At 44.5% G+C, this 23,267-nt stretch overlaps 1 protein-coding gene across 6 annotated transcripts, besides 4 other annotated features; it reads right to left on the reverse strand.

The window, feature by feature from the left end:
• Nucleotides 1–403: 403 nt before the first annotated feature.
• ZNF823 (zinc finger protein 823) lies at nt 404–18,085 on the reverse strand. 6 transcript variants are annotated; one of them, XM_024451586.2, is made up of 5 exons: nt 17,956–18,085; nt 17,173–17,407; nt 4,340–4,466; nt 3,333–3,393; nt 404–2,481 (listed from the first exon to the last, which is right to left on the reverse strand). In XM_024451586.2, the coding sequence occupies exons 3-5, from the start codon at nt 4,371–4,373 to the stop codon at nt 840–842; spliced, it is 1,737 nt and encodes a 578-aa protein (XP_024307354.1). In that variant the 5' UTR covers nt 4,374–4,466; nt 17,173–17,407; nt 17,956–18,085; the 3' UTR covers nt 404–839. The 6 variants fall into 6 exon arrangements, with proteins under 6 accessions (XP_024307354.1, NP_001073962.1, XP_016882430.1 ...); NM_001080493.4 differs by lacking the exon at nt 17,173–17,407; XM_017026941.2 differs by lacking the exon at nt 3,333–3,393.
• Nucleotides 17,459–17,588: an enhancer, noted in NCBI's record as "active region_14031". NCBI's record gives its function as "activates an Ori minimal core promoter by ATAC-STARR-seq in GM12878 lymphoblastoid cells {active_cell/tissue: GM12878}" and the evidence as "EXISTENCE:reporter gene assay evidence [ECO:0000049][PMID:35858748]".
• Nucleotides 17,659–17,808: a silencer, noted in NCBI's record as "silent region_10128". NCBI's record gives its function as "represses an Ori minimal core promoter by ATAC-STARR-seq in GM12878 lymphoblastoid cells {active_cell/tissue: GM12878}" and the evidence as "EXISTENCE:reporter gene assay evidence [ECO:0000049][PMID:35858748]".
• Nucleotides 17,979–18,058: an enhancer, noted in NCBI's record as "active region_14032". NCBI's record gives its function as "activates an Ori minimal core promoter by ATAC-STARR-seq in GM12878 lymphoblastoid cells {active_cell/tissue: GM12878}" and the evidence as "EXISTENCE:reporter gene assay evidence [ECO:0000049][PMID:35858748]".
• Nucleotides 18,069–18,263: a silencer, noted in NCBI's record as "fragment chr19:11849745-11849939 (GRCh37/hg19 assembly coordinates)". NCBI's record gives its function as "represses an EF-1alpha promoter that drives an FKBP-Casp9 reporter gene in an ReSE screen in K562 erythroleukemia cells {active_cell/tissue: K562}" and the evidence as "EXISTENCE:reporter gene assay evidence [ECO:0000049][PMID:32094911]".

Here is a 23,267-nt window from a genome sequence, read left to right on the forward strand (position 1 = left end):
TGCAAGATTTTTTTGATGACTCAAAAAAAAAGAAAAAAAGAAAAACTAGCTTCCTACACTTCTCACTAAGCACCTGCAAATATAAACACAGAGCCTTCCATGGTTAAGGATCTGCAGCCCTGAAGCTGAACAGATCTTGACATTAGTATTATTTGGCCTCCTCCAACAAGTCAACATCTGCATCAGAACCTAGTTCTTTGAACACTGATGATCATCCTGATATTCTGTCAAGGTTCAAGTTAGCCTGATGTCTCCTGCTTGTCTATAATGCTACAACACATGACAATGTTAGGCACCATCCAGCAATCATCATCATCATCATTATACTTGGGTTATCAAGAGAGAAGCAGGATTTTGATAAGTGTTGACATGCTCATTCAGGTCACAAAACAAAAGCAATCTGTGAATGTTAAAACAAATTTTAATGTTCTGGGTGACATATACCACGTAGGTGGGCCTGCAATGGTTGTGTCTGCATCGAACATGTAGAGACTATTTTTCTTGTCATGATTCTCTAAACAATACAATCAAACAACTATTTACATAGCTTTTACAATGCATGAGGTATTAAAAGTCATCTAGAGATGATTTACACAGTATACTGGAAGATATGCATAGGTTACATGCAAATATGCCATATAACAAAGGACTTGGCATCTGTGGATTTAGAGGGTGCTGGAACCAATCCCCTGCAATATATTGGGGGATAACTGTATTTAAAAAAATTGAAACTACTTAAGGCTTTATCCCATGTTTACATTCATAGGGTCTATCTCCAAAGTGAGTTCTTTCAAGTTTCTGAAATTAAAGTACTGAATGTTTTCCCACATTCCATACATTTAGAGAGTATCTTTCCAGTGAGTCCTTTTATGTCTATGCAAGGAACGGAGAGAACTCAATGCTTTCCCACATTCCTTACATTCATACAGCTTCTCTCCAGTGTGAGTTTTTTCATGTCCTCGAAGGAAACGGGAACGAGTGAAGGCTTTACCACATTGTAGACATTCATAGGGTTTCTCTCCAGTGTGAATTCTTTCATGTCGTAGAAGGCAAGTGAGCCAAGAGAATGCTTTTCCACATTCCTTACATTCATATGGCTTCTCTCCAGAGTGAATCCTTTCATGGACTTTTAAGTTACTGAAATGACTGAAGGCTTTTCTACATGTTTTACACTCATAAGGTTTTTCTACTGTGTGGGTCCTTTTATGTTGAGAAAGGTATTTGAAACAACTGAATGCTTTCCCACATTCCTTACACTCATATGGCTTCTCTCCAGTGTGAGTTGTCTCATGATTTTGAAAGGAAGAGAGATCACTAAAGGCTTTCCCACACTGACATTTATAGGGTTTCACTCCAGTGTGAGTTGCTTCATGTCTTCGAAGGGAACCGGCAAGACTGAAGGCTTTACCACATTGTTTACATTGATAGGGTTTCTCTCCAGTGTGAGTCCTTTCATGTCTTTGAAATAAACTGGGACAACCAAAGGCTTTCCCACATATCTTGCATTTCTGGGGTCCATCTCCTGTGTGTGTTATCATGTGACTTCGAAAGCTCGAGCTATGAGATAACACTTTCCCACACTGCTTACATTCATAGGGTTTCTCTCCAGTGTGAGTAGTTTCATGATTTCGAACTGAACTAGGACAATCAAAGCCTTTCCCACATATCTTACATTTATGTGGTCCGTCTCCAGTGTGCCTTATCATGTGTCTTCGAAAGCTTGTGTGATGATAAAACGTTTTCCCACATTGCTTACATGCATAGGGTTGTTCTCCCGTGTGAGTCCTTTCATGTAGTCGAGTGTAATAGTAACAGCTGAAGGCTTTCCCACATTGTGTACATTTATAGGGTTTCTCTCCGGTGTGAGTTCTCTCATGTCTTAGATAGGTACTGTAATCAGGAAAGGCTTTGGAACACTGCTTACATTCATACGCTTTCTCTCCCGTGTGGATTCTTTCATGTCTTAGATAGGAACTGTAAAAAGGAAAGGCTTTAGAACACTGCTTACATTCATACGGTTTCTCTCCAGTGTGTGTTCTTTCGTGCAAATGAAATAAACTGGGCCAAACAAAGGCTTTCCCACACAACTTACATTTATAAGGTCCATCTCCATGGTGTGCCGCCATGTGTCTTCGGAGGTTTCCAAGAGAACTAAAGGTTTTTGCACATTCTTTACAATCGAAGGGTTTCTTTCCGGTGGGGGGCCTTTCATGTGTCTGGAAGGAGTGCTGATGACTGATGGCTTTCCCACGTTGTTTATGTGTATATGGCTTCTCTCCATATTCCTGATGCTCACATGATTTGTGTCCAGTGTCAACTCTGATGTTGCAATTAAGAGACGAATGACCCAAGACGACTTCTCCACACTCACCACTGTCACATGGATTTACTCGAGGAGTGTTCTTGTTCACAATACTATCTGGAATCTGGCCAAAAGTTTCTCCACATTGACTGTCATCTTTAATTTCACATGTATGACTTCTGTAACAAATAAGAAATATATTACTAAAGGTTTGTTTATAAGTGATTTTCTATATATTGAAGTACTAGATTTATATTTGTAACATTATCATGCAAAGTACAGGCTTCATCCCCTGTTTGAATGTGAAGTGACAGTGCTGTGTAAGATGGTCCCATCACAGCTATTAGCAAAACAGTGATATTCACATGGAGATTCTTTCTTTCTTTCTTTCTTTTTTTTGAGACGGAGCTTCACTCTTGTTGCCCAGGTTGGAGTGCAATGGCACAGTCTCGGCTCACTGCAACCTCTGCCTCTCGGATTCAAGCAATTCTTCTGCCTCAGCCTCCCAAGTAGCTGGGATTACAGGCATGCGCCACCACGCCCTGCTAATTTTGTATTTTTAGTAGAGACAGGGTTTCTCCATGTTGGCCAGGCTGGTCTTGAACTCCCGACCTCAGGTGATCCACCCGCCTTGGCCTCCTAAAGTGCTGGGATTACAGGCGTGAGCCACCGCTCCTGGCCCACATGGAGATTCTTAATACCATTTCCAAGGGAACTATTTTGCAAAGACTGAATAGCTATGTCACATTTAACTATATGTTCCTCGGGAAAATTTTTTTTTATAGAGATGGGGATCTCACTATGTTGCCCAGGCTGATCTCAAACTCCTAGGCTCAAGTAATCCTCCCACCTTGGCCTCCCAAAGTGCTGGGATTACATGTGCGAGTCACTGTGCTTGGTCAGAAAAAGAATTATTGGAATGAATAAATTTAAGCTGGGCTTGTTCATTTTCTCTGCTCGTTTTTAAAATTTTCTTATCATTCTATGAACCACTGCAGGGACATAGCTTTCTTTTGTGGGTGCAAATTACCTTAGATTTCTCTTGGCATTTTGGCACTGATCTCCAATGTTCTGGTCCTCCCATTTCATTTCTAAAAGGTAGACCCAGGAAAATCACTAAAAATGTTTACAAAATTATAGAAAAACTCTAAGATTTTACGCGTACTGCAATCATGCATGATTCATTCACCAAAGTACATGTGACTCTTCAACAACACAGGTTTGAACTGCACAGCTCCACTCATACATGAATGTTCTTCAGTCTCTGCTACCCCTGGGACAGCAAGACCAACCCCTCCCCTTCCTCAGCCCACTCAGTGTGAAGACAACAAGGGTGAAAACCTTTATGAAGATCTACTTCCACTTAATGAATAGTAAATATAGTTTCTCATCTTTTTTTTTTTTTTTTTTTTTGAGACAGAGTCCCGCTCTGTCGCCCAGGCTGGAGTGCAGTGGCGCGATCTCAGCTCACTGCAAACTCTGCCTCCCAGGTTCACGTCATTCTCCTGCCTCAGCCTCCCGAGTAGCTGGGGCTACAGGTGTCCGCCATCACGCCCGGCTAATTTTTTTTGTGTTTTTAGTAGAGACGGGGTTTCACCATGTTAGCCAGGATGGTCTCGATCTCCTGACCTCATGATCTTCCCGCCTCGGCCTCCCAAAGTGCTGGGATTACAGGTGTGAGTCACCGCACCCGGCCAGTTTCTCTTCTTATGATTCTCATCAACATTTTCCTTCCCAAGCCCACTTTACTGTGACAGTACAGTATGTAATACATATGACATACAATATATGGATTAATCTAATGTTTATGTTATCCATAAGTGGGCCAGTCAACAATAGGTTATTAGTGGTTAAGTTGCGGGGGACAAAAAAAGTTATTAGAGGATGTAAGACTGTTTGAGGGGCTGACACCTCTAAACCCTGTGTTGTTCAAGGGTCAACCATATCCTCTTTCCATATTTCAAATCATGAACAGCGTTGATGGCCAGGAAACAAATGTCTCTAATTGACTAAGTGAAGAGATGATGTCATCCTTACCTATACAGTCCAGGTTCCTAATGGTTTCCTGCATGACATTTCTGTAGAGACTCTTCTGTGATGGACCCAGCAAAGCCCACTCCTCTTGTGTGAAGTTCACAGCCACATCTTCAAAGGCCACTGAGTCCTGAAACATCCCACATGTGCAGAGGAGGAAGGTTGAGATGGACAGCACTGAGAATCCATACTCACTGCATAAACTTTGCATGATGCTGTGGTTTCCAAGCATTTATTCGATGACATAGTAAACCCACTCTTATTTTGTCTACACTCACTTTTTCCCACAAAGCCATTGTGATGCTTTAGTTGAATGTGTTTGGTAAAGTAACAGTCGAATAGGAACCTGCCTCTTGTTGGTGAGTTAAGTGAGTGAGTCTTATTGCCTGCGTCACCCCTGATGTCTATTTCTACAGCGGTCTGTGTAGTTCTTATCATGACAAAGTACAACTACCTATTGTGTAGAAGAGTTACCACTCCCAGTCCTGAAACTGCATATCCTGACAAATGCTCATTTGCAAACTTGGATCTTTCATGGTGTCTAGGCACCGGATCCCACTAATGTAACTAATAACAGAGGCTGAGTGTGCCTAAACTGTTTATGCAAAATATAGGGGCCAGGCATGGTGACTTAGGCCTGCAATCCCATCACTTTGCAGGGCCAAAGTGGAAGGATCACTTAAGAACAGGAGTTTAGGACCAGCATGGGCAACATAGTGAGCCCTTTTCTCAACAAAAAATAAAACTAGGTCTGACTCAGTGGCTCATGCCTATAATCCCAGCACTTTGGAAGGCCAAGACAGGTGGATCACTTAAGCCCAGGAGTTTGAGACCAGCCTGGGAAACATGGTGAGACCTTGTCTCTATAAAAAATACAAAAAAAAAAAAAAAAAAAAATAGCAAGATGTGGTGGCGCATGCCTGTAGTCCCAGCTACCCAGGATGCTGAGGTGAGAGGATCACCCAAGCGCAGGAGGTTGGGGCTGCAGTGAGCCGTGATCATGCCGCTGTACTCCCTCCAGCCTAAGCAACAGAATGAGATCCTGTCTCAAAAAATATAATAAAAGTAAAAAACAAAAAATAAAAAATACATATATATATATATATATATAAATTTTTTTTTAACTTAACTCCTATTCCCCCTCTGAGAGTTTGGAAGTTTGTTACATGATCAGCAGAGAGAGAATACCTGTTAGCCACAGCACAAGTTAGAATGCTTGTGCTCTCCAAAACTCATGCTGAAACTTCATCCTCAATATGACAATAATGAAATGTGGGGCTTTAAGACTTGATTGGATCTTGAGGTACTAATCCATTCATAGATTAATGGCTTAATGAATAAATGGGGTATCTCAGGAGTAGGCCTAGTGTCCTTAAGAGACGAGGAAGAGACCTGAATTAACACTGGGCCCCTGGCCATGCGATACCCTGTGCCACCTAGGGACTCTGCAGAGTCCCCACCAGCAAGGAGGCTCTTACCAGATGCTAAGCCTTGACCTTGGGCTTCTCAGTCTCCAGAAGTATAAAAAAATAATGTTTGTTTGTTTTTATAAATTACCCAGGCTCAGGTAATCCTGTTATAAGTAACAAAAACCAGACTAAGACAGTTATGAAGAAACACTCTGGACACTGGATCACTACTGACGGACCCTAGTAGCTAACGTTTCACGTGTTTGGTTGCAACTTGTTACATGGGATATTTAGCCCATCCTATGCAATTACACTAAGAGAGAACATTTGGAAACTGGCAACTGGTTTCCATTAGACCAAATGTAGTTAAGCGTGACAAAAGACTAATAAAAAATATCTCACTATCTCAATGGAAAAATTACACATTTTTCATTGGATAATGACAAAGGAGGAGGAAAGACAGGGAAAGATTGCACATGTTCTAACAAAAAACTCAGTGTCACCTCTCATGATTATCTATAATATTTCCTAAATTCCTAAAGAGACTTTTAGCAGTCAACAAAGATTATATTACCAAATCTAATAAAAGTCACAAATATCTGAAAAGGTTAAAAACCTAACCGGCAGGGTGTGGTGGCTCACGACTGTAATCCCAGCACTTCGGGAGGCCTAGGGGGGCGGATCAAAAGGTCAGGAGATCGAGACCATCCTGGCCAACATGGTGAAACCCCGTCTCTACTAAAAATACAAAAAAAATTAGCTGGGTGTGGTGGCGCACCTGTCATCCCAGCTACTCAGGAGGCTGAGGCAGGAGAATCGCTTGAACCTGGGAGGCGGATACTGCAATGAGCCAAGATCATGCCACTGCACTCCAGCCTGGAGACAGAGTGAGACTCCATCTCAAAACAAACAAACAAACAAAAAACAATAACAACAAAAAAAGAAACCGCCCAAAAAAACCTTCTAACCAAGAAAGTTACAGCTTTCCAAAAACAGATAAAGGATTTTTAAACTATAATATTCGGCATCCTATACTATTAACAGGGAGATAAACAAACAGAAAAAGGAAAGCAAAAAATGGTTGAAAAGCTTTGTGGAGTTTTTATTTGCCCTTGTCCCAATCCCTCCTCACATCAGAGCCCGTCTTGAAGACAGCAGACCAAGTTTTCAATGTGGATCCCTAGAGACAGCAGATCAGGTCTTACTTGCAAATTATTGCCTTTGTATTTTCCAGTTGGTACAAGGACTATCCAAAGGTCTGAAACAGGCTCTCTTTTCTTTCTTTCTTTTTTTTTTTTGAGACGGGAGTCTCGCTCTGTAGCCCAGGCTGGAGTTCAGTGTCTCGCTGCAAGCTCCGCCTCCTGGGTTCACGCCATTCTCCTGCCTCAGCCTCCCAAGTAGTTGGGACTACAGGCACATGCCACCACGATTAGCTAATTTTTTTGTATTTTTAGTAGAGACGGGGTTTCACCGTGTTAGCCAGGATGGTCTCGATCTCCTGACCTCGTAATCCGCCCGCCTCGGCCTCCCAAAGTGCTGGGGTTACAGGCGTGAGCCACAGCGCCCGGCCAAGACTCTCTTTTCCATTTAATCAGTGATGGAACCCAATCAGGGTCAAACATGGCAAGAACTGCTTCAAAATGTTGCAAAATACACAGAAAGCCTTCAACCACCTGGAACAACAGATTACGGTTAAGACGAACAGCAGACCTACTAAGTCTTGGGAAGAAAAGCTGGAGATAAAATTTCCTTCAGAAATTAGGGTACTGAAAAGCACACAGGTATATTATGGCATACTTTTCTTATACTACCTGATCTAACAGATACAAATTTGTTTGAAATAATACTAGCAATGTATTGGGTAGTAACAGCTTCCGATAGGGCAAATGAATAACAGTGTGTTATATGGGATGGGAGGATGGAATTTGGAACAGTAAGTAATACCAGCACTACTCCCAAAGCCAGTATAGCATTATTTGAAACTGAAGGTCCATTAGTTATAAATGGTATACTACAAACTATAGGGAATTCACTAATAAAATTTAAGAAACAAGTAGACTTACTATACTAATAGAAGCAAGCAAATAGAATCATATAGAATGCTCAGTTAAAATGAAAGCAGAAAAAGTGGAGAAGTTGAAAAAACAGTCAAGTATAAGAATAGAAAACAATTGACATATGTACATATTAATCCAATTATGTCAATACCACTTTGAATGTGTATATCTACATATACCAGTTAAAAAGACATGGACTGGCTGAATAGAATTAAAAAAACAAGGCTGGAAGGGCACAGTGGCTCACGCCTGTAATCCCAGCATTTTGGAATGCTGAGGCGGGCACATTGCTTGAGGCCAGGAGTTTGAGACCAGCCTGTCCAACATGATGAAACCCCGTCTCTACTAAAAATACAAAAAAATTAGCCAGGCGTGGCAGTGCATGCCTGTAATCTCAGCTACTTGGGAGGCTGAGGCATGAGAATCACTTGAACCCGGGAGGCGGAGGCTGCAGTGAGCCGAGATTGTGCCACCTCATTTCAGCCTGGGCAACAGAGCAAGACTCTGTCTCAAAAAAAAAAAAAACAACAAATAAAACAAGGCCCAGCAATGTGTACATGAAAACCATTTTAAACTGAAAGATGCAAATACATTAAATATAAAGGTATGGAGGAATATATGCCATTCTAGCCCTAATCAAAAGAAATATGGACTAGCTATTTTAAATTTAGATAAATCAGGTTTTAGGTCAAGGAAAGATACAGGGGATGAAGAGATTTCATAAAGATAAAGAAGTCAGTTATACAAGAAGACATAATAATCATTAATATCTATGCTCATAAAACAAATCATCAAAATACATAAGGCAAAACTTATAAAACCACATAGCAAAATACACATGTACTAGATGGCTTCCCAGTACCTACTGGCTTTCAATGTGTGCTAACCTCTTCTTTCTGGGATCTCTAAATAATACATAGTTTCTGTTATTTCTTGCATTTTGTTGAGTTGCTTCCTCTGTGTCTTACCTGACCAATATACCTGAATCTAATTTCTACCCAGTCAGGGCTTTCTTTGTAAGATTATTTTGGCAGTGGCTATCTTGGTAGTAATAAAAGAAAAACTGGTCAGACAATGGGCCATAAGGTGTCTACCAGGAAAAACAAGTTTCCTCTAAGACGGAAACTTGGTCACTGGTCTGATATTTAGGCATTAGGTCACCTTGTACTATCCTACAAGTTACGTTTGGAAGGCTTTCAAATTAACCTGTTTGGGGAGGTCTTATGATCCAGGGCTTATATCTTGTCCCTGAGTAAAGAATCTTTTTTTTTTTTTTTCCTTTGAGACGGAGTTTCGCACTTGTTGCCCAGGCTGGAGTGCAATGGCATGATCTTGGCTCACTGCAACCTCTGTCGCCTGGGTTCAAGTGATTCTTCTGCCTTGGCCTCCCAAGTAGCTGGGATTACAGGCCTGTGCCATCATGCCCAGCTAATTTTGTATTTTTAGTAGAGACAGGGTTTCACCATGTTGGTCAGGGTGGTCTCAAACTCCCGACCTCAGATGATCCGCCTGCCTCGGCCTCCCAACGTGCTGGGATTACAAGTGTGAGCCACCGTGCCTGGCCGTTTTCTTATGTAAGAAAATAAAGTAGATCCCAAAGGAAGGGACTCAGAAATTCAACTCTGAAAATTAAGAAGAAGAGTTGTGCGTGACTTATGCCTGTCATCCCAATACTCTGGGAGGTTGGAGTGGGAGGACTGCTTGAGTTTGAGAACAGCCTAAGCAACATGGCAAAACCTCATCTCTACAAAAAATTTAAAAATTAGCCAGGGATGGTAGCATGTGCCTGTAGTTCCAGCTACATAGGAGACGAAGGCAGGAGGATTGTTTGAGCCCAGGAATCTGAGGCTGTGGTGAGCCATGATCCCAGAACTGCACTCCAACCTGGGTGATAGTGCAAGACCCTGACTTAAAAATTAATTAATTAATTAATGAGAAAATGGCTGAAAATTATTTCACAGTAGATGAAAGGCCATACAGAAAAAATGCTCAACACCGATGTTAATCAGTAAAAAGCAACATCTAATCACATGGAGATAAATATTTATAAGGAATAAACACACATGCACACATGGTCTGCCAGTTAATCCATACATGCCAACGGGTTTTCCTAGCACATTTAAATTTATCCATAATCCACAACCCAGCACATTTCCCCCTATATGTACAAAATGTATAAAGTGTTAGCATTTGGGGACAAAAACAAAGATGACATTGTCAACAAAGTCCAGCAAAAATGAAACAATTCAAGTCCTATGAGCCGTGGAATATGAGAGTGAAGTGGGTGACCCACACCTCAGACAGCAGCATGAATCAAACAGACTGAGGCAAAGAAACTAAAAAAAAAAAAAAAAAAAAACCGCCCGCAGCCGGGTGAGGTGGCTCACGCCTGTAATCCCAGCACTTTGGGAGGCTGAGGCGGGTGGATCACCTGAGGTCGGGAGTTCGAGACCAGCCTGATAAATATGGAGAAACCCTGTCTCTACTAAAAATACAAAATTAGCCAGGCGTGGTGGTGCATGCCTGTAATCGCAGCTTCTCGGGAGGCTGAGGCAGGAGAATCGCTTGAACCCGGGAGGCAGAGGTTGCGGTGAGCCGAGATCACGCCATTGCACTCCAGCCTGGGCAATAACAAGAGCAAAACTCCATCTCAAAAAAACAAAAAAACCTTTTCAGCATCATATTAATGGAATATTAAGTGTAATATTAATTAACTGAAAACTCAGAAGAGAGAAAACTATGCATCTGGATTCATACATGATAAACATATACTGAATAACAGTCAGTCGGTTTAAGGCTCTGACCTGTGGTGCCTCTGACTTCTGATAACAAAGGTGTGCCGTTCGCTGAACACCAACCAATTCTCCAGCAATAACTGGGTGTCCAGTAGTTCAATTCTTATACCACCCAGAATTAACACAGATCCCATAAGTTTCTTGCTAGAGGGCTCAGTCCCACAACAGGCCCCCACTGCAGATGTCATTTGTAAGCCCCAGGAACTAACCTTTTAACCAACTGTGTATAAATACAACAGCACCATCCTCTGGTTCAATAACTGGCTAAAGGCCAGGCGCAGTGGCTCACGCCTGTAATCCCAGCATTTTGAGAGGCTGAGGCAGGTGGATCACCTGAGGTCAGGAGTTCGAGACCTGCCTGGCCAACATGGAGAAACCCCACCTCTACTAAAAATGCAAAATTAGCCATGCATGGTGGCGCATGCCTGTAGTCCCAGCTACTCGGGAGGCTGAGACAGGAGAATCGTTTGAACCCGTGAGGCAGAGGTTGCGATGAGCCGAGATCGTGCCATTGCACTCCAGCTTGGGTAACAAGAGTGAAACTCCGTCTCAAAAAAAAAAAAAAAAAAAATTGGCTAAAATAACTCATGAAACTCAGCAAAACACTAGTAACTTAAGGTTACTAGTTTGTTATAAAGGATTTCTCAACAACAGCCAAATGGAAAAGAGGTATTCAGCAAGGGAAAGGGCAGGGATGGTTAAAGGTTTCCCTTTTTTTTTTTTTGAGATGGAGTCTCGCTCTGTCGCCCAGGCTGGAGTGCAGTGGTATGATCTCGGCTCACTGCAAGCTCCGCCTCCCGGGCTCACGCCATTCTCCTGCCTCAGCCTCCCGAGCAGCCGGGACTACAGGCAACTGCCACCACGCCCAGCTAATTTTTTTGTATTTTTAGTAGAAACGGGGTTTCACCGTGTTAGCCAGGATGGTCTCGATCTCCAGACCTCATGATCCGCCCGCCTCAGCCTCCCAAAGTGCCGGGATTACAGGCATGAGCCACCGCGCCCGGCCATTTTTTTGTATTTTTAGTAGAAACGGGGTTTCACCGTGTTAGCCAGGATGGTCTCGATCTCCAGACCTCGTGATCGGCCCGCCTCAGCCTCCCAAAGTGCCGGGATTACAGGCGTGAGCCACCGCGCCCGGCCATTTTTTTGTATTTTTAGTAGAGACGGGGTTTCACGGTGTTAGCCAGGATGGTCTCGATCTCCTGACTTCGTGATCTGCCCACCTCGGCCTCCCAATGTGCTGGGATTACAGGCGGGAGCCACCGCGCCCGGCAAAGCTTTCCCTCTTGACACCACCTTCCTAGCGCATCCACGTGTTCACCAACCTGGAAGCTGTCCCGATGTCTTTGTTCAATAAATTTTATTCAACTTAATTTCTAGCCTCCCTCCCTTTCCTGGGGTCAGAAGATGGGGCTTAAAGTTCCAGTCCTGTCATCATGTGTTTGCTCTTTCAGGTCACCAGTCCCCATCCTCAAGTTAGTTACCTAGTGACCTCATGCTGAGTCACCTCATTAGCATAACTTCACCTAAGGTCTGACAAGAGCTGGGAATAACAAAACACATTCCCATCACTCGGAAAAATCCAAGGAGTTTAGGACTACTTTGCCAGGACCTAGAAATAATGACCAAGGCGGGTGCAGCCGCTCACGCCTGTAATCCCAGCACTTTGGGAGGCTGAGGTGGGCAGATCATGAGGTCAAGAGATCAAGACCATGCTGGCCAACATGGTGAAACCCCGTCTCTAATAAAAATACAAAAATTAGTTGGGCGTGGTGGCACGCGCCTGTAGTCCCAGCTACTCAGGAGACTGAGGCAGGAGAATAGCTAGAACTCAGGAGTCGGAGGTTGCAGCGAGCTGAGATTTCGCCACTGCACTCCAGCCTAGCGACAGAGTGAGACTCCATCTCAAAAAAAAAAAAAAAAAGAAAAAGAAAAAGAAACAATGACCAAATATGTTTTAGGCTGGGCATGGTGACTCACGCTTGTATTCTCAGCACTTTGGGAGGCCGAGGTAGGAGAATCATCTGAGGTCAGGAGTTCAAGATCAGCCTGGGCAACATGGCGAAACTGTCTTTACAAAAAATACAAAAATTGGCTGGGCGTGGTGGTGCACGCTTGAAGTTCCAGCTACTTGGGGGGCTGAGGCAAAAAGATTGTTTGAGCCCAGGAGATGGAGGTTGCAGTGAGCCGAGATCATGCCACTGCACTTCAGCCTAGATGGCAGAACAAGACTCTGTTTCAAAAATTAAAAAGGACCAAATATTTTTAAAAATTATATCACAGACCCAAATAAACTCTCAGATTCATAAACCCTTTGTCCAGCAGGCAGAACCAAAAGGTGTCTTTCTCTAAGTCAGCCCCAACAGACTTTCAAATTTGTACAATATTCTGATTAAACAAACACAGTGAATGTAAAACCAGACTTCTAATAATGTTGAATTTAACCCCAGCTCTGTAATCCTGGTTAATAGCTAGAATTAAATAAATCACCTTAGGCCAGGTGAGGCGGCTCACATCTGTAATCTCAGTACTTAGGGAGGCCGAGGCAGCCGGATCACTTGAGCCCACGAGTTCAAGACCAGCCTGGGCAACATGGTGAAACCTCATCTCTATGAAAAATACAAAAATTAGCCGGGCCTAGTGGTGCATGCCTGTAGTCCCAGCTACTGGGGAGGCTGAGGTGGGAGGATCGCTTGAGGCTGGGAGGCGAGGTGGAGTTTTGTAGTGAGCTGAGATCATGCCACTGTACTCCAGCCTGGGAAACAGAGTGAGACTCTGTCTCAAAAAAAAAAAAAAGAAAGAAAGAAAAGAAATCACCTCAGTCTTCTACCACCTAAGTCCTGTGTGTTCTGAACAAACAGCTGAATGCAGTGTAACACTCTCCGCATTGCTTCGACTATGCCCCCTTTTTAAACCTGTAACAAGACCAAAAACCCCACCAAATTCCCACTTTGCCTCAGAAATGATTAGCTGAACAATTCTGTCTTCACCAACCAGGCTGCACAAAATTAATGTAGAGCAAACTTTCCTTAAGTTTCTCTTCCTCCTGCTGGACTCAGTCTGAGCCAGCACACAATTCCTCTCATTTATTTATTTTGAGATGGAGTCTTGCTCTGTCACCCAGGCTGGAGTGCAGTGGCACGATCTCAGCTCACTGCAACCTCCACCTCCCGGGTTCAAGCGATTCTCCTGCCTCAGCCTCCTGAGTAGCTGGGACTATAGGCGTGTGCCACCACACCTGGGTAATTTTTGTATTTTTTAGTAGAGATGGGGTTTTGCCATATTGGTCAGGCTGGTCTTGAACTCTTGACCTCAGGTGATCCACCTGCCTCAGCCTCCCAAAGTGCTGGGATTACAGGCGTGAGCCATGCGCCCATCCACAATCCCTCCTTTTTAACCTCTCCTAAGAACTGACTGAAGTCAAGGTGAAACATTCTGTGATGTAGGATCTGATTTTCACCTTCCATCTTACTCTCTCTCCTACCTTCTAGATTTCTAATATTGTTTGCTCTTCACTTTGAAAAGCAATTTTCTGGCTGGGCATGGTGGCTTATTCCTGTAATCCCACCACTTTGGGAGGCCGAGGTGGGCTGATCACTTGAGGTCAGGAGTTCGAGACCAGCCTGGCCAACATGGTGAAACCCCGTCTCTACTAAAAATATAAAAATTAGCTGGGCGTGGTGGTGGTCACCTGTAATCCCAGCTACTCAGGAGGCTGAGGCAGGAGAATCACTTGAACCTGGGAGGCAGAAATTGCAGTGAGCTGAGATCACGCCACTGCACTCCAGCCTGGGCAACAGAGCGAGACTCCATTTCAAAAAACAAAAAAAAAAAAAAAAAAAGAAAAGCAATTTTCTGCCTAAACTTTGAGATTCTTGTAGATCTTATAGTTGGTAGTTTTCTCCTTTTGCAATATGCTTTTAGAGTGAAGTCACTTCTTGCCCAAATCCAGATTTATTTTACTTGAGAATGTCTAGCAACAGTGCCACAACAGTAACAAAGACCTCAGACAGGGCATCACACCACATGTCTCTGCCTGTGGATCTCCAACTTTCCAGTGCTCTGCAGCTTCTCTCAGTATAAAAGGCTCCTCCCATGTTTGGAATGAACAGGTTGGGACACCTGCCAGGGAGGTTCCCCAGGAAGAACCAACTCAACTGGGTCTTCAATGACCTCCCTTTGCAGGCTCCAGATTGACCTTAGCTCAGAGTCAGTCGCCTCAGGCTTCTCCACCCCAGTCAAGGCTACTCACTTACCCTTACATGCCTTACATGGGTATTTAAAAAAAAAAATACCCATGTGTGATGAATCCAGTAAAATCACTCCAATCCAGCATTTATGTTTATAGGAGGGAAGAAAACCACAACGCATCTATATTTTATAGCTTAATAGAAAAAGCACAAGTATCTATCCGTTTCAGAAAACAAATGTCATTAATTTATCATTTTCCATAATAATAAATCATTTAGTAAATGAATAATGATATTTGAGTTCTTTAGCTGTTGGAAAGTCCTGTCCCACAGAATTTAGCATTAGTCTGTCAAGTCCACATAACAGGAACAGAATAGTTATCCACTGTCTCAAATTCTCCACTCTACAAAGGAGACGAACTAACATTTTGGTAAATCTTTATAATTCATCAATATATCCACCACACTTTCTTGCAAAAATGTATTCATTTTTCTGCAGTCATAAAGGAAAAGTTTTTCCCAATTTCTGTTCACTGCTAGGCCCTGAAATTCCGTTTGAAATCATCCAATAAAAAAACAGACCTGAGGCTGGGCACGGTGGCTCTCTCCTATAATCCCAGCAGTTTGGGAGGCCAAGGCAGGTGGATCACTTGAGGTCAGGAGTTCGAGACCAGCCTGGCCAATATGGTGAAACCTCGTCTCTACTAAAAATACAAAAGTTTTAGCTGGGCATGGTAGCATACGTCTGTAATCCTAGCTACTCAGGAGGCTGAGGTGGGATGATTGCTTGAACCCAGGAGGTTGAGGCTGCAGTGAGCCAAGATCCCACCACTGCACTCCAGCCTGGGTGACAGAGCGAGACTCCGTCTCAAAAAAAAGTAAATAAAAGTTTTAAAAAGAAATAAAATATAGGACTAAATATGTAATGAGTTTGCTGAAACCCAACTTGTTCTTGTCTCTTTGAACATACTTTATCTTCTTTATTAAGCTCTAATGATAAAATGCATTTTGCAGTTAATAAAAAGCTGAAATGAGTGAACAAATCTTTTCAAGATGACAAATGCAGGGAGGGGCTGACTGGAACACAGACAAATCTGACTACTTTAGTGTCAGTTCAGGTCCTCTTATCACTTGGGACATCTCCCACCCCAGTGCTGCTCACTGAACTGCTGAGTAATTACCCTCCAAGGAGAAGCTCCCTCAATACCGCCAACCAGCTGGCTCATCAGCCATGTGTCCCCAGGGAATGGAAACTGGGGTGGGGAAGAAAAGCTGAATGTCTTAAGGGCTTTGCTTTTTGAGGAACAGTATACCAGGAAACTCCTCCCACCCCACGACATCCAGCTGCTCCCCTATAAGGTCCCACCCCCCACCTCTGGCTGTCCTCTGGGAGGAGTGACTCAAAGCTGATATTCACTAGACACTACAAAAGACTTAGCAGCTATGAGCATCTTGGAGCAGCCCCAAACAGTTCTGTAACCCAGGACCAGGACACCATAGAGGGTGGGCTGACAGATCACCCTGTGCCATTTGCAAAGAGGAACCTCGACTGAAAATATTCGGGTATCTCTGTGTAGACAAGATAAAGGACAGCCACACATGCACTATTTTTTTTTTCTTTTTCTTTTTTCTGAGACGGAGTTTCACTCTTGTTGCCCAGGCTGGAGTGCAATGGCGTGATCTTGGCTCACCGCAACCTCCGCCTACCGGGTTCAAGCAATTCTCCTCCCTCAGCCTCCCAAGTAGCTGGGATTACAGGCATGAGCCACCACCCCGGCTAATTTTGTATTTTTAGTAGAGACGGAGTTCCTCCATGTTGGTCAGGCTGGTCTCGAACTCCCGACCTCAGGTGATCCGCCAGCCTTAGCCTCCCAAAGTGCTGGGATTACAGGCGTGAGCCACCGCGCCCGGCTTTTTTTTTTTTTTTTTTTTTTTCACACTGGAGTCAAGTGGTTATTCTTTGCTTCCTCACATGTGAAATGTTCACAAACACAAAAACACATCTTTTAAAAAGAGCCATACATTGCTATGTGAAAAGAAAGTGACAATTAAAATAATGCCTCTGTTTGAAATATTGCCTGAGGGACAAAGAGTTCATAAAGTTGCTGGGAATTGATGAGAGACAGTTAGCCTGGGGAAGGCTCTGAAAACCAAGAGATTTGCTGCCAGCCCTAGGAGGAGTTAGGATGAGGGGATAGGGTGGTGGATTTGAGACCCTGCTGCCCACATCTTTGGAAGACTCGGAGGGAAACCGGTCACCTTTGGGAAGAAAGAAGGGACTGGGGAACCCACAGATCACAGCTTCTCTTCCAAAGCACAAAGCCCACACACACGAGTCTGGATTCTGCCTGGTGACCCTCCGTTGTCACCGTGCAGCGTCCTCACCGGGTTCACAGGAACTGCGAGCCAGGCTGGAGGCGAGATTGCAGTTAGATATTAACCAGGTGCCCTCAGCCCCGCTGCCTCACGGGGCCGCCTCCCTGAGAGTCAGGTCACAGCAGACGCTGACCGCCGGCTTCCTCATCGTGCCCGGGGATAAGATCTCTTGAGAGTTGCTCACGGGTCGCCTCAGTTCTTTCTCGGATCCTGAATTGCAGCGGAAAGGCTGGCGCCAACCAGGCTGAAGACCCCACAAGGGAACCCACTCAGCAGAATGCGGTTTCTTCACCTCCAGTCCCAGGAGTCACCTCTCACTTCTCCACCAACCAGCGACCCCACACTCCAGCCGTCCCTGTCCACACCTCTAAACACCCCATCCCCAAACCTCTCAGGGAGGCGGATCTGGGGTGTCCTCCCCTCTCCCCCATTAAACTGTTTCTGCTGCAGCCTTCGGCGTCTCGGTGCAGTGACTCGGGCCGTGAACCTGTGCCGGTTACAACTGCACAATCTGGGGAGACGCGGAGCTGCGGGCGCGGAGCTGCCCAGAGAGGGCGCCGGGGCCGGGGCCGCAGCGGCCGAGCAGGGACGGGACAGGACGCCCGGGGTCCCGGCTGCCGCCCCAGCCCCATCTTGCGGCCCAGGGGACCAAGGGCAGAGCTGCGCCAGGGGCACTGGGATTTGCAGACCCCGGAGTCGCCCAGGGCGAGGCCCGGGTCCCCTCACGGTCGGTTCCGGCCGGTTCCAACCTGCCCCTTCTTTGCCTCGGGACGCCGGGCCCCGCACACTCACCATTTCCCAGCTTCCAGGTGTCCGGGTGTCCTCCTTAAAAGCCAGTGTGGGTCCCAGCGCGACAGACGCTGATACAGACCTTCCAGGGCGTCTCTCTCTCAGCGCCAGAGCCAGGACTCAGAGCGCAGGGGCGTGGAGAAGACTCCGCGGGCTCTTTGAACGTCGCACCCTCCTCCCTGCAGCGTGCCTGATTGACAGTTCTCACAATCCCCGCCCCCTCATCCCTGATTGGATAGTGCTCCAGGTCCCGCCCCTTGGTGGCTGATTGACAGAAGAAGCGATCTCACAGTGCTGAGTGGAGCCGGATGAACAGGTTCCAGGCACGACCCTTGGCAAGGCGGGCTTCCTCCCAACGGAGTGACCTGACCCCTCCCGAAGTGACGTTTGCATTTTAGAATTTCCTGATTGTATTCAGTGGGTTCTTCCTGCTTTTTCCTCCTGGACAGGGACTCACAAGTGTGTGCAGGGAATTCCAGGCTCCCTGTCCAGTGGAGCCATTCCCGGACCTCGGAGCAGGAGGGGAGCCCGGGGCACACAGGCCACCCTGCAGCAGGAGGGAGGGCCTGATGTCCTCCAGGGATCAGGAATTTGGGATGAGGCTGTTGGCGACGTTGCCAAGCCTTTCCCTCACCTTATCTCTCAATCTACTCATTTTCAGCCCAGAAGATAAAAACAGGACAACAAAATAAAATAGTTGAGTATGTGGAAAAACTGGAATTATATGGCAGCAATATTTCATAAAGAATCAAAAGAGAAGAAAAGCAAAAACTTGAACAAGCTCAGAGAAGCAGCCTACTGCACTCACAGTTCACAAGCAGACCCCCTTTCAGGAGGTCAAACATATCCCCAAGCTGGGAAGCCAGGCAATGATTCCTAAAATGGAGCTCCGGGGTGGATCAGAAGCTGGTGATAAGGGAGGGACAATTAAGAATTTTACTCTGAGGTCTCAAAATACCTGTCCCCTCTGCACAGCGTGGAAATGCTCCCTCCTTATGCCATTAAATGTTAATGAATTAAACGCTCCAATCAAAAGCCAAGACATCACACTTTGAATTTGAAAACATTAGCCTTTCTCCATATGTTTATGAAGTAAAAATACTAGACTTAAAAGCGTTATGGCCGGGCGCGGTGGCTCACGCCTGTAATCCCAGCACTTTGGGAGGCTGAGGCGGGTGGATCACCTGAGGTCGGGAGTTTGAGACCAGCCTGACAAACATGATGAAACCCCGTTTCTACTAAAAACGCAAAATTAGCCGGGTGTGGTGGCACGCTCCTGTAATCCCGGCTCCTCAGGAAGCTGAGGCAGGAGTATCGCTTGAACCCGGCAGGCAGAGGTTGCAGTGAGCCGACATCACACCACTGCACTCCAGCCTGGGCAACAGAGCGAGGAAAAAAAAAAACTCCATCTCAAAAAAAAAAAAAAAAAAGCGTTATGAACTAGAAGCTGGTAGCCATGGCTAAATAGAAAGGAGCTGAACATGAGATGTCAATAGATGAAATGAAATCTTCAATCAACTTCTAGAAACTATAGCATTTTCTGCCAGGACAAATGGGCACGTTTAGAAAATGAATGAAAAAAATGACGTCTGAGTATAACCTAATGCATAAATGATACTGTTTCCTTAAAAAAAAATAATAAGCACACACACAGACACACACACACACACTCCCACAGTCTATTATGCTAGAAACTGCTCTCTGAAGGATAAACTACTATTTTATGAAATGCTCCACCCCTCACTCCTCACATTAACTGCTCCTGGAACAATGTTCTATTTATTTGTTTCCACACATATTAAAAGAGGGCACAATGTATCAAACTAACTGATTGTCAGGGGTTTATATACAGATTCTGTATATTTTTACAAATGGCAACAAGTAAGTAGTTGATTTCTGCAATGATTTAAATACATATAAAAGCTTCCAGACAAAAATAGCTGTTCGCATTACCATGATGAAGGAAAAATCAACAATGGTGAGACCCACACCCCCTCCCCCAGAGAAAGTATAAAAGAAATCCTAAGAGAAGCTAGAAAGCCCAAAATTTGTATGTGCAAGTTTAAACACAATATAGAAAGTATTGCTGTTAGTTTCCTCACAGTCAGTTCTATGGCAACACCATGCTTTTCTGAGTTAGGATGTTTATTTCTGAGTTTGTCTTTTTTTTTTTTCTGAGATGGAGTTTTGCTCCTGTTGCCCAGACTGAAGTGCAATGGTGCAATCTCGGCTCACCGCAACCTCTGCCTCCGGGTTCAAGCAATTCTCCCACCTCAGCCTCCTGAGTAGCTGGGATTGCAGGCATGCGCCACCACATCTGGCTAATTTTATATTTTTAGTAGAGACAGGGTTTCTCCATATTGGTCAGGCTGGTCTCAAACTCCTGACCTCAGGTGATCTGCCTGCCTCGGCCACCCAAAGTGCTGGGATGACAGTTGTGAGCCACTGCACCCGGCTATTTCTGAGTTTTTTAAAAGAAAAGGAAACACAACTCCTTCCCCAACCCTCTGTCACGAAGATATCCTCTAATATCTGCTGCTAAATGTACCATTTCAGTGTGAGTTAACTTTAATGCATGCAGTAAGGAGCTCAGTTCGTGTTTCTGAAGGTCAATATTCAACTTCCTTAGTAGCTTGTTGAAAAGACTTTCCCCTTTAATTTATCTTGGCCTATTTGTTGAAGATTAATTAACTATCCATGAAGAGTGTCTTAGTCCATTTGTGCTGCTATAATGAACTACTGCCAAGTGGGCAATTTATAAAGAATATTAATTAGTTTTCTCGTAGTTCTGGATGCTGGGAATTCCAAGATAAAGGTGCCAGCACCTAGGGAGGGCCTTCTTACTGCATCTTCTGGAGGGAAGGAACACTGCATCCTCACAGGGCAGAAGACAGAAGGGCAAGAGAGGGCGAGCCCCATCCATCAAACCCTTTATAGTGGCATTAGTCTATTCATGAGGGCTCTGCCAAAAGACTAAAAGTCCCCAACTCCCAAAATTGTGGTGCTGGGGATTGAGTTCTCACCTATGAATTTTGAGGGGACACAAACATTCAAATGATAGCAAAGGGGGTTATTTCCGGACTCTCAATTCTGTCATATTATTTCTGACATCTTCCCAGTAAGTCTGGCTACTATACTACCTACCTGATGATGGAGAGCCCCACCCCATTCCTGACAGTCAAGCATGACACATGACTGTCATGCACAGATAGAAACGGTCCTAAAGCCACAGGAAGATCTCCTAGACACCTCCTTGGATGACCTAGACTTACTATCATTTTGAGAAGGCCTCTCTTAACACAATTGTAGGGAAAACATAGTAACTGGTTTTGCCATAATTTCTCCACATGAAACAATTGAGGCATACTCTTTACTCACTGTAAAATCAGCCTGAGCCTCTAGCTCATTGCTCTTACTAGATCTCGAATGTTGGCAAAGGGGAAACTGCCACCATTGACAATGATTCCAGATATGCTTTGGGAGTCTTTTTTGCCATTGGCACAATCTGAAAATCCTTTGCATTTACAACTTGTTCTGGTACACCCATTGCCAATGAACATACATAACTGGGGCACTATTACAGGTTGTTCACCTCTCTACTAAAATGGCTATTGTTCACTGTCTAGCCCATACTAAGGAGACTTCTACTACATCTCTGGGCATTAAAAGACTGCTAAACAAGGCGGGGCACAATGGCTCACGCCTGTAATCCCAACACTTTGGGAAGCTGAGGCAGGTGGATCACCTGAGGTCGAGAGTTCAAGACCAGCCTGGCCAACATGGAGAAAACCCATCTCTACCAAAAATACAAAATGAGCCGGCATGGTGGCGCATGCCTGTAATCCCAGCTACTTGGGAGGCTGAGGCAGGAGAATCACTTGAACCTGGGAGGTGGAGGATGCAGTGAGCTGAGATCTCAACATTGCACTCCAGCCTGGGCAATAAGAGCGAAACTCCATCTCAAAAACAAAACAAAACAAAACAAAAAAAGACTGCTAAACAGGAAGCCAAAAATGGCACCTTATCTCCGCTGAATTCACAAACCTGCCTTTAGCCTTGATTTATGTTATCAAGTAAAAGCTCAATAATCGGAAAAACATCAATAGGTACAAAGGGGAGACAACTATTGCACAGATTATACGTTAGGCCAATCACACTGTAGCTCCTTTCTTTTGATGTTCTGCCTTGTGCTAATCTTCCACTGGATTGGACATGGACGCAAATGATGGATACTTAATAGTCTAAAAGGCAACTGGCTCTGTCTGCCTTGGCATGCACAAAATATCTGACCCAATTATTTCCCAGTGTGCTGCTTGTAAACTTGCCCAATTGCTGGATGAAACCAACATACCTCAGAGAATCCTCCAATGCCCATGCTGCCCCTCACAATATTCCAGATGGATTAGCTTCTCTCCAGCTTGAGGCCATTCCCATTGTTTGGTGGTTGTCTGCATGTTTAATGGATGGGCTCAGTGCTGTACAGCTACACATGCTCATGTATGAATGGTGAAGTAATTAATAACTGAAATTATTTCTCATTTTGGCATGCCTTTGTAGGCTGAATCAGACCATGGAAGTAATTATTATTATTATTATTATTATTATTATTATTTTATTTTTTATTTTTTTTTTTGAGATGGAGTCTCGCTCTGTCACCTAGGCTTGAGTGCAGTGGCACAATCTCGGCTCACTGCAAGCTCCGTCTCCTGGGTTCACGCCATTCTCCTGCCTCAGCCTCCAGAGTAGCTGGGACTACAGGTGCCCGCCACCACGCTCGGCTAATTTTTGTATTTTTAGTAGAGACGGGGTTTCACCGTGTTAGCCAGGATGGTCTCGATCTCCTGACCTCGTGATCCTCCCGCCTTGGCCTCCCAAAGTGCTGGGATTACAGGCGTGAGCCACTGTACCCCATGGAAGTAATTTTATAGCTGATATAAAACACATTCTTCCAAAAACTATGGAGGACTTATTAAAATTTTACACCATCCTTAATCATCAGGGCAAATGTAAAAATCTAAACATACAGGGCAAGAGGGGCTTTAGGGTAATATCTGTCAGAACACAGGATATCAATGGCCAGAAGAAGAAAATATGAGCTGACACTTTGCTGGGTGGAACATTATGATGTACCCCTGCCTGCCATCAAAATAAGAGCCATTGTCATTCAAAATAAGAACCATGTTTTATATATAAGAGCTATGAATTCATGTAAGCCATGTCAAACTTGACATGTATCAGCATTTCAAGGACAATTGGAAGACCATTTCTACAGGTAACCACCAAGGAAGATCGTCAGAGCCAATTCCCAGGCTCCA

This window comes from Homo sapiens, chromosome 19 (genome assembly GCF_000001405.40).
Source record: "Homo sapiens chromosome 19, GRCh38.p14 Primary Assembly".
Taxonomy (NCBI): domain Eukaryota; kingdom Metazoa; phylum Chordata; class Mammalia; order Primates; family Hominidae; genus Homo; species Homo sapiens.